At 44.1% G+C, this 14,214-nt stretch overlaps 1 protein-coding gene across 16 annotated transcripts in view; it reads right to left on the bottom strand.

The window, feature by feature from the left end:
* SAMD4A (sterile alpha motif domain containing 4A) overlaps positions 1 to 14,214 on the bottom strand; it is a 228,000-nt gene that overhangs the window by 89,799 nt on the left and 123,987 nt on the right. For all 16 annotated transcript variants that reach the window (XM_047431137.1, XM_047431136.1, XM_024449516.2 and 13 more), the window contains one exon: positions 937 to 1,455. In XM_047431137.1, coding sequence (XP_047287093.1) covers positions 937 to 1,455 — 519 coding nt within the window. The remainder of the gene's footprint in view (positions 1 to 936; positions 1,456 to 14,214) is intronic.

Here is a 14,214-nt window from a genome sequence, read left to right as displayed (position 1 = left end):
TTGCAAAAGCATTCCTTCAAGAAAGTTATCTTGGCACTGCCACTGCATTCATGGACAGGTGCAAACTAGCATTAAGGAACGCTGTTTGAAGACAGGGTGCACTTCCACACCGCTACTTTATACAGACACCAATGGTGTGTTTGTCACTTTGCTCAGCCTCAGTGGGGAGACACAGAGAGGACTCCCAGCCCCAGTGCCCAGCTGAGGGTGCAATACTTTGCTTTAGTGGTCAAAAGAGCAGAGGGCTGTCCTCCGCTCTCCCCACGCACAAAGCAGTTCCTGACCCACCTCTCCTAAGGTGTTGGACTGAGCGAGAGAAGTCCATGGCATTCTCACCAGGCCACAGCACACAGCAGCATTCTCAGTTAGCAAACCTGCTCCCACTGGTCAGGAAAAAAGTGCCCCAACAATTGGGGATTAAAACCAGAAAATGCAAAGGGAGGAAACATTCCAGGGTGAAATTTAAGAAAAAATAAATAAATAAAGAGAAAGAAAGAGGAAAAAAAAAATAAAGAGAAAGCACAAAGCCCATGAGGCTGCCTGGTTAACCATGGGTTAGAATTAGGTTTAGAGAATCACACAGTAACTCAGTGTCTCAGCAAATCCAAAACCCCAGGGTGAAAGACATGGGTGAAATGCATTTCTGATTGTGGAAACGGCAAGTTTCCTTCTTTCATTTATTGTCTATTTATTTTTGGTCTGTTTATAACCCAAATTTGGACCATCAGTCACTTTTACCTTCCCAAGTATTTTCATCTTTGCAGAGTCAAAGAGCAACAAATATGGGGTCCAAAGGACCTTTCCCACAGCCAATTCCAATCAGTCCTTCTCTCCCAGGGTCACAGGGTGCATGGAGCAGACACTGTCAGCAGGACATGCCACATACACAGCAAATCGCCAAACCAGACTACGTTAAAGGGATTCCGGGGAACTTACTTGTACTTGTGCTGGTTCCAATCGTATTGATTGTGGTGGGGACAGATGAGGAGGAGTAGAGGGGCACATGGCCATTCTCACACCCCATGCTTTTGTCCTGCCAGTTGGAGGCATTGATGCAAATCCCAGAATCCCGAGAGTTCTGCCACCCATTGAGCTTGTCATCAGAGTTCTGTCTTTGGTGATAGTAGTGTGTCTGTCCATAATCCACAGAGTCTGAGCGGCCTCGGTTCTGGCCACCAAAGCTGGTCGACGTGCGGTCCTCCAAGTGATTCAGCCACATGGCTAAAGCACTACGGTCTTCTAACGAAGTGGCTGGATGTATCAAAGCATAGGACAGCAGCTGCCTGCTCTCCTCAATGTGCTGGTTGTGTTCAATAGAGTGAGCCAGGATTTTGGGCAGCAGTTTCATATATTCTACTTTCGCGTCGAGGTTTCCTGGCTTCAGCAAAGGCAGATGAGTTAACAGGAGGGAAATCACTTTATCCTTGGATTCCTGTTGCCATTGGTTAATGATTCCTGAAAAGGGAAATATACACGGCAAATAAGCAAATACACCCACAGTGACTCTAAACAGATACTCTAAAGAGAATTTTTATGGATTAGGGTCCCAATCTACATAGTCTGGCTATATTTTCTCAAAAGAGCCTGTGAATCAGATTGGTTAACTGACCCCAGGTTTTCAAGGGCCAGAGGCTCCAATGAAACACAGATCAAACATTCTTAGATATTGAGTACTCAATCAAATTCTCATTCGTGTTTCCAAAAAAGCTACAACTACTTTGGTACAATCAAATACAATGTGCAGCTCTGTTTTCTTTCTGAGAAAGGTCTAGCCTACCCCCTGATAGACAGGGGGCTAAGACTAAGAAGCTCTCCATAGAAAAGTGAGTATGAACAAAGGTCCCATTCCAGAGTCCTGGGGGTGAGGCTGCTTCACCTCCCCCAGACATCTGTTGAAAGTGATTTAAATCCTGGTAAAGGCATTTGTGTGAAATTGGAAAAACTTCCTAGATGGAGAAATTTGTCAGGGAAAAAAAGAGCTCCCCTCATCTCTGTGCAGTAAGACTGCACCTTTCTCATGAGAAGCTAACTCAGAGTGACTATGGGCTCAAAGCTAGAATATGCAATGGACCGAAGACTTGGCTCCTGAGACACCTCTAATTGCTGTTTTGCTTTATGTAGAGATCAGCTTGTTTTTATTGTGGTAAAATACACATAACATTGATCATTTTAATCATATTTAAGTGGATGTTCAGTGGCATTAGGAACATTCACAGGCTGGGGGTGGTGGCTTATGCCTATAATCCCAGCACTTTGGGAGGCTGAGCCAGGAGGATGGCTTGAGCCCAGGAGTTAGAGACCAACTTAGGCAACATAATGAGACCTCATCTCTACAGATAATTAAAAAAGAAATAGCCATGTGTGATGGTATATGCCTGTAGATCCAGCTACTCCAGACGCTGAGGTGGGAGGATTGCTTGAGCTTCAGAGGTCGAGGCTGCAGTGAGCTGTGATTGCACCACTGTACCCTGGGGCTTGGGTGACAGAGGAGACCTGGTCTCAAAAAAAAAAAAAAAAAAAAAATTCACCGTTTCACAGTGGTGTGCAACTATCACTACCATCCATCTCTAGAACCCTTTCATCTTCTCAAACTGAAACTCTAACTACTCTAGGTACCACAGAGAAGTAGAATCATACAGTGTTTGTCCTTTTGTGACTGCCTTACTTCACTGAGCATAATGTCCTCAAGTTTCAAGCTCTGGGAAGATCTGTTTTTAACACACTCAGAAGGATCCTTTCCATCCCCTCTCACTGATTAGCCTTTGAGAAATAGCCTGTCTTGGGATTGACAGTTATTCACAGGCTCTGGGCCAGAGGAAAGAAAGCTCATTTTCAGGGAAGTCATTCCTGACACCTGGAGATCTCAACACTGGCCCACTGATGACCCTACAAGGGCTAGGGCTGGACAGTCCTGCTGGTTTTTATGCCATATCTAGAAGGTTGGAAGGGGTTTCTGGAATTTAGCAGAAGGGCTTAGCAATTCCAGCTAGGTGCAAACATAACAAAACAAGCCCAGTTATCACTGTTGACCATAAGCTACAAATGCATCAGCCTGTGCTGCAATGCTTCTCAAGACTATGGGAAAGAATATTTCAAGAAAAATACCAGCAAAAAAAGAGGCATGGTATATAATGAAAGAGCATGAGCTTTGGAGTCAGGCAAAGCTGGACACAAATCCCAGACATGCCATTTAATTTGTGGTAGAACCTTGGTAAGTTACTTAACTTCTCTGAGCCCCAAATACCTTCTCTGAGCCCCAAATAGCATCTGCCCCTCCATGTGCTGTGGGATTAAATAACGTAAAGTAGCAAAAGGGCTGGTCAAGTACTTGATGATGGAGGTAATTCCTTCAGCTTGTCTCTGCATAGCTGGAATCATGTTAGAGCAATGTGGGTGGTTTGGGATGCCAAGTTTTAAAAAACAAAATATAGAGAAACCAGAGATGACCCAAGAGAAGTCACTAAAAATGATCAAGGAGGTAGAAAGTCAAAAGGTGAAAAGAAAATGGGTTTACTGTGCTTACAACAATATGAAGAGATGCTTGACTCACTTCAAGTGGGATTTCATAAGGAGATGCCAAAGAGTCAACTACTTGTAGAAGTCTCCAAACCGAAGCAGGAGAGATTAAGATAGGACGTGGAGAAGAACAGAATTGCCAGAATAATGAAAGACTCAGAATCACCAAGGAAGGCTTTAGAATCTCTGCCCTGGGGTCTGAATGTTATTCAGTAACAGAGTGAGACGATCTTGAGGAGCACTGTCCAACAGTAATAAAATATAAGCCATATATGGTATTCTAAACTTTCTAGTAGCCATATTAAAGAAGAGACAGAATAAACAGGTAATGTACATTTTAATGATATATTTTATTTAAATAATCAAATTATCACTTCATTATCCATTATCATTAATGAGCCATTTTTCCTTTTTTTGAATTAAGTCTTAAAAATCTTTTAAAAGTCTTAAAATGCCAATGTATTTTTTATCATGGACAGTACATCTCAACTTGGATCAGCCACAGCTGAAGAGCTTAGAAGCCTTATGTGGCTGGTGACTACTGAGCTGCTGAGCACAGGGCTGGAGACATTCAGATGGGGAAGGCTGGCAGGAGGGCACAGATGACCTCAGCAAGTCCCTCCCAGCTCCCTGACTCTATATTTAGCTAATTGCCACCTGACACAAGACAACTCTCACACATTCCACTAGGTATAGCCTCCCTTTTAAAGTAGCGCTGAGAGGCAAAGAAAATTCCAATTCTAACTTTCTCCTCAATTCATCTTCAGCAAATACCAGGCATGTTTTAAATGATGAATGTGCTTAGCATGAAGATAAAATCTATTCATTAAGCCCAAGAGGCACTGAAAAGAAGCAAAAGGGGCCAAGAAGCAAAAGGGGTTATGCTGTAAGCCTACTGTAATCAGAGGTGGCTAGTGTACATCCTTGAAAATGTACATTTAAAGATAAAAATTAGGAATGACTTCTAATAAAAAATTCATGAGGCTGAGGAACTCCCTAGCTTTCTGCTAGGTCATTTCCCTGATTGGACATTCTACCCTTCCACAAAAGGTCAACCTAAAAAAAAAAAAAATCAGCAACAAAAACAAAACATAAATAGGAGTCATAGTACAAACGAAACATGTTATCTCCATGTAACCGCTCTCTGCTGTGGATTAACCTGGGATTCAGAGGAGGAACAAGCATAGCAAAGAGGAAGGAAAACGAGAGGCCGCTGGCCCCGGTCCCTTTATCCTCAGGACAGGGCTTGGATGGTGGGACCAGGAAGACAAGTATTGCTTTTGTTTACTACCACTGGGAACACAGAAATCAGATTGCTCTCTGAGGGCTAACTACACCTACTGGATCAAACTATTTCTGCTACTACTCCAGCTGCCACTGCTGAGAGCCAACAGTATTGAATGTTTTCGAAGTGCCAGGCACTCTTCTAAGCCCTGTGCATTTAATTACTCACTTAATCCTCCCAAGAAGCTTATGAGGTAGGTCCTATTACTAGCCTTCTTTTACAGATGAAGGCACAGGGGCACAAATGGGCCAAGTTACTTGCCCCCAGCCCCCTGCTAGTGAAGTGGCAGAATGGAGGTAGGCAAATTTGATATTAGATACATAATGGCTGTCCTGCTACAACAGCGTGGCCATAAGCCAAATATATTGATATTTATAACATAATTAGATGTTCTATAGTTATATGATACAGAATTACATATAAATGCATACAAATATGTAATAGTTATAAACATTATATAAATGTATTAATAGAGTACATGGATAATCACAGTTGGTGAGCAACAGAAGTATAATAAAAAGGAGTTACAGAGACAATGTAAGTTATACCTATTGTGGTTTAAAATATGTTAACTATTTATTTGACACACCTCTTTGAAAGGTGGAGCCTAATTCCCTTCCTTCTGAGTGCAGGTTGGATTCAGTGAGTCACTTTCAGTAAATAGAATGTAGGGGAAATGGCGGTATGTGACTTTATGGATTAGGTTATAAAAGGCATTATGGCCTCCCCTTGCTGTCTCCGAGTACTCACTCTGGGGAAAGCCAGCTGCCATGTTGTGACATCATGCAAGCAACCCAATGGGGAGGTCCTTGTAGTGAGGAACCGAGGCCTCGTGCCAATACCTAGCACCAAGTTGCCAGCCATATGAGGGAACCATCTTGGAAGCAGATCTCCTAGCCCAGATAAGCCTTTGGACAACTGCAGCCCACATACCATTTTGAGGAATCCTAAGCCAGAATCTCTCATATTTCTGACCCACAGAAACTGTGTAACATGTTTATTGTTTTAAGCTGCTAAGTTAATTAATACACTATCCAACTGTCCCTCTAGGTAAAAGGAAGTTTTAGCCACTTGGTTTTGAATACATCAGTCTTTCTGGCAAAGCCATTCCCATTCTGGCATGGACCCATGAAGTTCCCGTTGCCACTAAACATTTCCCTTCCTCAGCGCCCCCGTCCTGATTATCCACTCACAAAACAACCTTTGGACCATGATTTAGCTCCCCAGCTACCCTCAAGGAGAGAATGAACTGATCATAGAGACTTGAGGTATTTCCAAAATCTGTGATAATGATTTGTCAGGGCAACTTAATACATAATTTCTGATTATGATTTGGCTTCCTGTGGAGGCCTGCCGACAAGGACAATGTGTGCTGATTATATGGACTTGGAGTACGTCTGGTCTCTCTGATGATGGCTCCTCGTGGCAAATTAACCAGCCAGCATTGCAGTGTCTACCTCCCTGCTTTCTAGTTAGCATGAGTCAGTCTTTCAGGAGAGTATCCCCAGGGTGCTGACAAGCGTGAACATCTCTACCTTCAAACGGAAGCCAGACCCTACATGCAGGGACTTGGTCACACTGGCTAGGTCCTGTCCAACTGCCCACTGGCCTCTGTGGCATCCACACTATCTTCCAGAGAGCAAAGAATCTTTGCTGAGATTTGCATTTGACAAATTCTCCTCCCTGGGGAAGATGCAGGAATCCTCAGAATTTTCAATTAATTGATCACTTCTGAGATCCAGTCTCTACCATTACTCACCCCAATATCACCTGATTCAGGACACAGTGGAAAACTTAAGTGCAAGAACTTCAAGGTTTGATGATGTCAGCTCACCTCTACTATGTTTTCTGAATATTTTCTTTGTTATTTCTCTGTATAAGGAGCAGAGATGTAACAGTTCTATTACATGGATGTTTAATGTGGATAAAAGTTAATGATTTATAATTTGTAAACCAGTGACATAGGAGTAGTAAAAAAAATTAGAAGAGCTATAATTAAAGACCATGAGGATTAGGAAACTGTCCCAATGATTTTTGGAGTGACAAAGAGTGTGTTTAAATACCAAGTCTGGTATTATTGCTACACAATGGTATGTCAATGCTTAAGGGCTCTAGTTGTTAGTAAATTACTCTTAAATTGCTATTTTATTATACCCTTGTTTTCAGTTTAATAACGTTTGCCATAAAAGGGTTTCTCACAAGCGCATTTAGGCAATTTGCTCATGCAAGAAATGGCTAGGAATTAAATGCACACACAGAAGAAGTACTGGTGAAATAAATGTGCTAAAAGGCAGGAATATTGGTGGGTTTTACATGGTCAAAGACTCCTTGGAAGAATGTTACAAAGTCAATCCTAGACACATCATGTACTAAAAGCTTCTAAATATAGTGCAACTCTGCACAACTCAAAAGTGGATAACCACACACACCATGTATTTATTTGTAGAGATATTTTTCAGCCCAGGGCACCTGAAAAATCAGGGCAAAAATACCAACATGGCAAATGGTGGGATTCTTGTGTTGGCACCTGCACTTGAGTTTGTCTCCCAAGGTACCCTCTTGAGCTAGAGGTGACCAGAGAAGAATCCCCATAATTTGGTGGGAGCCCTGCTAGTGGTATGGATTAGACCAGTTGTGATGGGGAACCCAGTCTGGAGTTATGAGCCCTTACAGCTGCAAGTAGTGTTTTGAAAAGGTACAAAGGATTGAAAAGATATAAACCCTCCCCCTATTTTCTTTTTCTTTTTTTTTTTTTTTTTTTTCTGAGATGGAGTCTCACTCCGTCACCAGGCTGGAGCACAGTGGCATGGTCTTGGCTCACTGTAACCTCCGCCTCCTGGGTTCAAGCGATTCTCCTGATTCAGCCTCCCAAGTAGCTGGGATTACAGGCATGCGCCACCACGCCTGGCTAATTTTTGTATTTTTAGTAGAGATGGGGTTTCACCATGTTGGCTAGGCTGGTCTTGAACTCCTGACCTCATGATCCACCTGCCTTGGCCTCCCAAAGTGCTGGGATTACAGGCGTGAGCCACCGTGCCCGGCCCTAACCCTCCCCCTATTTTCAAGGAAGGTGATTGCGGGCTTCCAGGGTGGCCTCCATTGATCCTAGACTACTGGTATTCACCTATGTGCTTTTCTCCCACACTGAATGAGAGCTGGTCTATGTGACCAAGAGTGTGCAGTGGAGGCGTTCTGACCTTAGGTCATAAAAAGCATTGCAGCTTCTACCTTGCTGTCTTGGTTCACTTGTTCTGGGGGAAGCCAGTCACACCAATTATGAAGATGCTCAGGCATCCCAGGGAGAGACCTGTATGGGGAGGAGTTCAGGCCTCCTGCCAACAGCCAGAATCAACTTGCCAGCCATGTGAGTGAGCTTGGAAGTGGCTCCTCCAGGTCTAGTTTATTTCTTGACTACAGCTTTGTTGGAGACCTTAAGGCAGAGCTTCCCAGCCAGGCTGTTCTAAATTGCTGACCCTCAGAAAACTGAGATAACTTGTTGTTATGTTAAGTCATTAAGTTTTAGGGTAGTTTGTTACACAGCAATAGTTAATGAATACAGAGAGCTTTTGGTTACTTGGTAAAGATCACTTCAAAATGCTACTGTCCCTTGGATTCACTAGAAAAGGCAGGCATCTATGTAGTGGACTGTATAGACCATTATGACCATTCCAGTCTTTTCTGACAGCAGAAGGTCATCAGGTGCTGGTCATTCAAAGGCATCTGACCATCCTCAAAAGGCAAGAACCAGGTACCTCTTGCCCTAGCAGATACTTCCAATGAGCCCTTTACCTTTCCAGAGTAGAGATCTGGTCATTTCTTCCATGGAGACTTTCCATCTGTAGTTACTTTTTCCCCAGGTACCGGCACAGCTGGGTGCTCCAGGACTGCTCCTTTACTCCTTGAGGACCCAGGCCAGCTGGGAAGTAGTCCTGAGATCTCAGCCAAGGACTCAAGTTAGGGTTAGGATTCACCTTCAGATTTCTGACCTCCTGGCCATGACCAGTCAGGAGGTCTGAGGCTGGCCATTCCCAGAGGGCACAAAAACCAGGCCAGCTCCCCCAGCCACCTGCCTCGGTTCTGACCTCTGGCCCATGAGTATGCAGACAACTCCACGTTTGTATTTCCAGCCCAGGTTTCTCCCCTGAGCCCCAGATTCACACTCCAACTGCACCCTCTCCATGCTCACTCAGATGATCTCAAAGTCAACATGTCCACAACCCAACTCTTGCTCTCACTCTCACCACATCTGCTTCTTTGCTCCTCTTTCCTATCTCAGCAGATGGCTTTCCATCTTTCCAATTGCTCAGGTCAAAACCTTGGAGTATCCTTGACTCCTTTCTCTCATATCCTGCATCTAACCTCTCCATAAATCCTATGGGCTGAATCTTCAAAATACATCTGGAATGTGACTACCCCTCACCATGTTTCTGCATATCCCCACCCTCTCCAGTAGTCTCTTATCAACCATAACAATCATTTCTAAAAGAAGGATCTTTTAAAACTAGAAGGTAAGTCATGTCACTCCCCTGATCAAACATGTCAATGGCTTCCCATCTCAGAGTAAAAGCCAAAGTCCTTATGATGGCCTGTTAGTCCCTCTATGATCTAGCCTCCACCCTTACTACTGACCCTCTCCTGTTTCAGTCCATCCTGGCTGCTGTGATGTTCCTTCAACATATCAGCCGCGTGCCTGCCTCAGAACCTTCACACTTGCTGCTTCCTCTGCCTGGAACACGTTTCCCCCACACCCATGTTTAGCCTCTCTCAGCTCTGTCTTTGCTCAAATGTCACCTTCCTAATGAGATCTTATCTGTCTACACTATTTTAAATTGCCCACCCCACTCTCTCACCTTACACTCCCTTATTCCCAGGTCATGCTTTGTTTTTTCCATAGCGCTTACCACCATGTGACCTGCTGTACAGTATGCTTATTTCTGGCCCCTCTCCATTAGAATGCAAGCTCCATGAGGGTAATGAGGGTGTCTCCATTTTTTCATGCATTAATAGTTCCTTCTTAATTACAGTTTTTTTTTGAGACAGGGTCTTGCTCTGTTGCCCAGGCTAGAGAGCAGTGGCACAATCACAGCTCACTGCAACCTCAACCTCTTAGCCTCAAGCCTTCCTCCCACCTCAACATCCTAAGCAGCTCGGACTACAGCCATCTACTACCACATCTGGCTAATTTTTGTATTTTTTGTAGAGATGGAGTCTTGCTTTGTTGCTCAGGTTAGTTTCAAATGATCCTCCTGCCTCAGCCTCCCAAAGTACTAGGATTACAGGCATGAGGCACTGCGCCCAGCTAATTATGGCCTTTTGTTTGATAGTGTTTTAATAGTCGTTTGGATTTCTTCAAAATGTTAGGTATTTCCTAGAAGTTTCCTTTAAATGGAAGGCTTAAGATAGAATAGACGACCTATAAACAATAGTAGGTACCAACTGTCACACACAAACTGTTCAGTTGCCCCTTTCTCATTCAACTTTGTTGTATTCTGATTATTTTTAGCTTTAACATCAAATAAAAACAGGAACATGGAAAAGAGGAAAATAAAATGATTAGCTCAATTTTCAAAGTCTTTACTACCCCCCCCTTTTCAATATTCTGTTTAAGATGGAAAGTTTCCCCATTGTTTTTTGCTAGAAAACAAAAGCAAAATGGGTGCTTTTTGTGATTGTAACTGACACCCATTAAAGTAATCTTCGTGAAAAGGATTTGAGAGGCTGAGACAGCAGAATGAAATATATTTAATACAACTCTTGCAAACATCTGTTGAAGAAGGAAAGAAAAACAATGTCAACAGGGTTAAGACTGTTATATGTCTGATTTTTTTGCGGGGGGGGGCACTAAGTGATTGTTTCAATAAGGCCTCATAGGAATGGGTCTCCTAAGAGTTATATAAATTAGAGATGAAAAAAATGTTACCTCACTCGACAAACACAAGACACATTCTTGTAAACCACACTCGACTAGTTTTTTACACCAAAAACCCCTCAGAGGAGAGGCTGGAAGTGTTCTAAACACAGGAAGCTTTCCCACTCTCTAATCTTCAGCGCCGCCCTCACACTCCAGACCACCACTGCCAAAACCCCACACACCACAGAGTGACACTCCAATAGTACCTTAAAATAATGAATTAGCAATCCTCATGCTGACCTTGCAAAGGAGAAAAGTGTGCTTTCTGCTTCTACACTTAGATTTAGCCCCTGTTGCACAAGAGGCTCTAGACATGAGAGTCCCAAAAGGAGCACGGCATTGTCCACGTAACCTAACTGCAATAATATTTTACAAAGAACTCCAAGGCCAGCATCCTTGGCAATGTCCAGACAGTCAACAGAGGAGTATCTTGGGAGGAGTATAAACAGACTGAATCACAAAAGAATAGTTCATGCTTAATTCAGTGGAGCAAACGGAACAACAGCCATGCCACACAACAGGTTTATACACCTCAGGAAGTCTGGGAAGGGCTGGAGTGCACACATCCCACCCCTGACACCAGGGAGCCATTCTATATCTTTACATGACTGTGAACTGTGAAGTCACTGGGTCCCACGCTTTCTAAAATAACGAGGAAGTTGCTCAACAACTTATAGACAAAATTTCCCAACTCAAGAGATGGGATCCAAAGTGTAAGTGTGAATGTAAGAGCCCTGTGGTGTGGTGTGTAACCATGTAAATATTGTCACCAAGGAACAGCATGTAGATATTCCCAAAATATGCATGTTAGCAATGTTGATAGTAAAATGTATGTATCACTCATTTAGGTATGAAATATGAAATACACGTACAAGTCATCCAATGGGGGACAGAATGAACAATTTTGTGGAGGCAGGATATTCGAGTCCATAGTCACAAATTAACTGATACTCTTTTTGGAAAGAAAGGCCTGGCTAACTGTACAAGGACAGAGTTGGGTGACCCTGGAACATATTCAGCCTGGCTCTCCTGTCCTCCTGGGGCACAGCCCTGTAGAGGGAGCTAGAGGCACACCTCCCTTCCTGCTTCCCCTCCAGCCGCCAGCCAATGCTGGGAATTTCTGCAACAGTAAGCAGTAAAAGGCTGCTGATTTTCACCTGTTACTTGTGCACCAAACTCATTTTCAGGTTAGTAGGTCTATTGATGCAATCAGAATAAGATTTTTCAGATTTTTTTTTTTTTTTTTTTTTTTTTTGAGAAGGGAAGCTACTTTTTCATTGCTGAAGTCCTTGGGCAGTGGGTAAGAAGAAAAGGTAGGAAGGATGATGGTGAAGAATGCACTTCTCTAAATAGGAATGAGAATGGCTGAGGCCATTTCCCTCCTTCTGGGTATCCTGCCATGAAATTGAGTAGACCTAGGGCTCAGTGGCTGGACCAGAATCAGGAGGACTGATCAGATGAGGGCCCTTGGCTTTGGCCACATTGGTGGGGATGCTACAGAAGGAGACAAGACCTCAGAGCTCATAGGGATAATGTCTCCAGACAAGGGCCTCATCCTTCCCAAGTTGCAAGCATGCTGCCATCTAGAATTCTACAACAAAGGCAGGCACAAAAACAGTGAGAGGGCTCAGGCAGGGAAAGGTAAGGGGGAGCAGAAAGGCCCAGTAGGACGGAGAGGAGCAGACGCAGAGGCAGAGTTGAGAACCTTGTCTACAGACCCACACAGCCCAGTGCAGGCAGGCCTGTGGGCTGTGTTGTAAGCACCCTGCACTGCTGAGAAGCTGGAGAGAGGACAAACCTGGCAGGAAGGAGCTCCTTCCTGGAAACAAACCTTCTAAACTCTATGGAGGAAGGCAGAAGGCAGCAAGGGGCCCCTATGTCCAGGGAGTTTGGAAACTAACCATTGTCTGCCCTCCCTCAACTCTACCCCAGGGTCTGAGACACATGGCTCAGTGAGGAGAAAGACAAAGCTAACTTCTAGCCACAATGGTTCTGAGCTGGGAGTGACAGCACTGGCCTACTGTGTTGTTTGAATCTAGCTTCATACCATCACCTTTGGAAGTGGTTGTATTTATTAATCTATCAGATATCTGTCTTTGGTTCCTATCAATGTATATGGCCTAGTGCTAGGATCTGTCCTTTTCAATGACATTTGTGGTATCAGAGATAGCCAAAGGGAAAGTTTTGTACCCATAGAAGTGTCTGTAACACAAATAACTTGGGGAGAATCAGACCAATGGGGTAGAGAAATACTTGGAGAAGGGCTCCATTTCTAGAACCAACAGGCAACACTGTAAGGAGTAGAATCCATCTTCTAAAGTACTCCTAGGCCCTCCAGCCAGGACTCAACACATTATTTGGCAGAAAAAAAAAAAGAGCTTAGTCTATTATCACTATACCAGTGGAGACTTAACCTCTGGCTGTTTGAATCTCAAAAGAGATCACTATTATTTATCATTACATACTCTCTGCTGTAGATATGTCTTGGACACATCTGAACCCTCCCCCTCCTGCTCCTATCATCATCTGTGATGTAGTTTAAGAATCCACCTCTCTCCCCAAATGCCATTTACCCATTTGGGCCCTCATTGCCTTTTCTCTACCACAATTGAGCTCAGTGACTTGCATATCTGTATAACACCCCCCCCACTTCACCCCTCCTTGTGGGTGGGGACAGTCCATCCACTTCTGTGTCTCCTACTCCCTCACCCAGGTTAGTGCTGATCACACAGCCTTGCTAGACCAACCTGGTCCAAAAAAGATTCATGCACTTTTTCTATTATGGCTGATGACATGGCACATCTGTTCCTCCTCAGCTTTGTGTCTCTGATAAGTATCAATAGCAGGAAATCTCTGGACCAGCGCAGAATGGTGAGGGGACACTGAGGCTCCAGCAGAAGGGGAGGGCTGGCCTGTCTTCACAGATGATGTCCCCAGCGTCTTCACATCAACACCCCTCCCTTGGCCTTCACCAGGTCACATGTCCAATGTATTTCTGCTAAGAGCCCCCTCCTCTTGCCTCTACTCAGTCACAGACACAGGTAGGGTAGTCAAGTCACCTGGACAATCGGAGCCCAAGATGCTGGTTGTTAGCGCCTAAGATGGGTTCAGTTGTCTTGGCGGCTCCTTTCTAAGGTATTCACTCTTAAGAACTGTAGGAGTATCAGGTGCTCTAAGTGACTTGGGGAAAACAGAATGATAATATGGCGTGGGGAATGAGAGCACAGATGCTAGCCATGTTGTCTGAGCTTCCATTGAATGAGCTGTGTGAACTTGGGCAATTCACTTAACCACTCTGTGCTTCAGTTCCTCCATCTGGAAAATGGGCTACCTCCTAAGATTGGTGATGTTTGAGTTACTTAATCTTTGTAAAGCATGGGACCATCATCTGGCCCATGGTGAGTACTATGTGGTTGTTAGCTGCTCACCACCAATCTAAGGGACCAGGATCATGCTCCATGGGGCTCTCTCCTACAGGATGGGGACAGGAGGAGACCCAAAG

The sequence above is a fragment of the Homo sapiens genome, chromosome 14, assembly GCF_000001405.40.
Source record: "Homo sapiens chromosome 14, GRCh38.p14 Primary Assembly".
Classification (NCBI taxonomy): Eukaryota; Metazoa; Chordata; class Mammalia; order Primates; family Hominidae; genus Homo; species Homo sapiens.
Note: the sequence above shows the minus strand (reverse complement) of the source record. Positions and strands in the feature narration are given on the sequence as shown.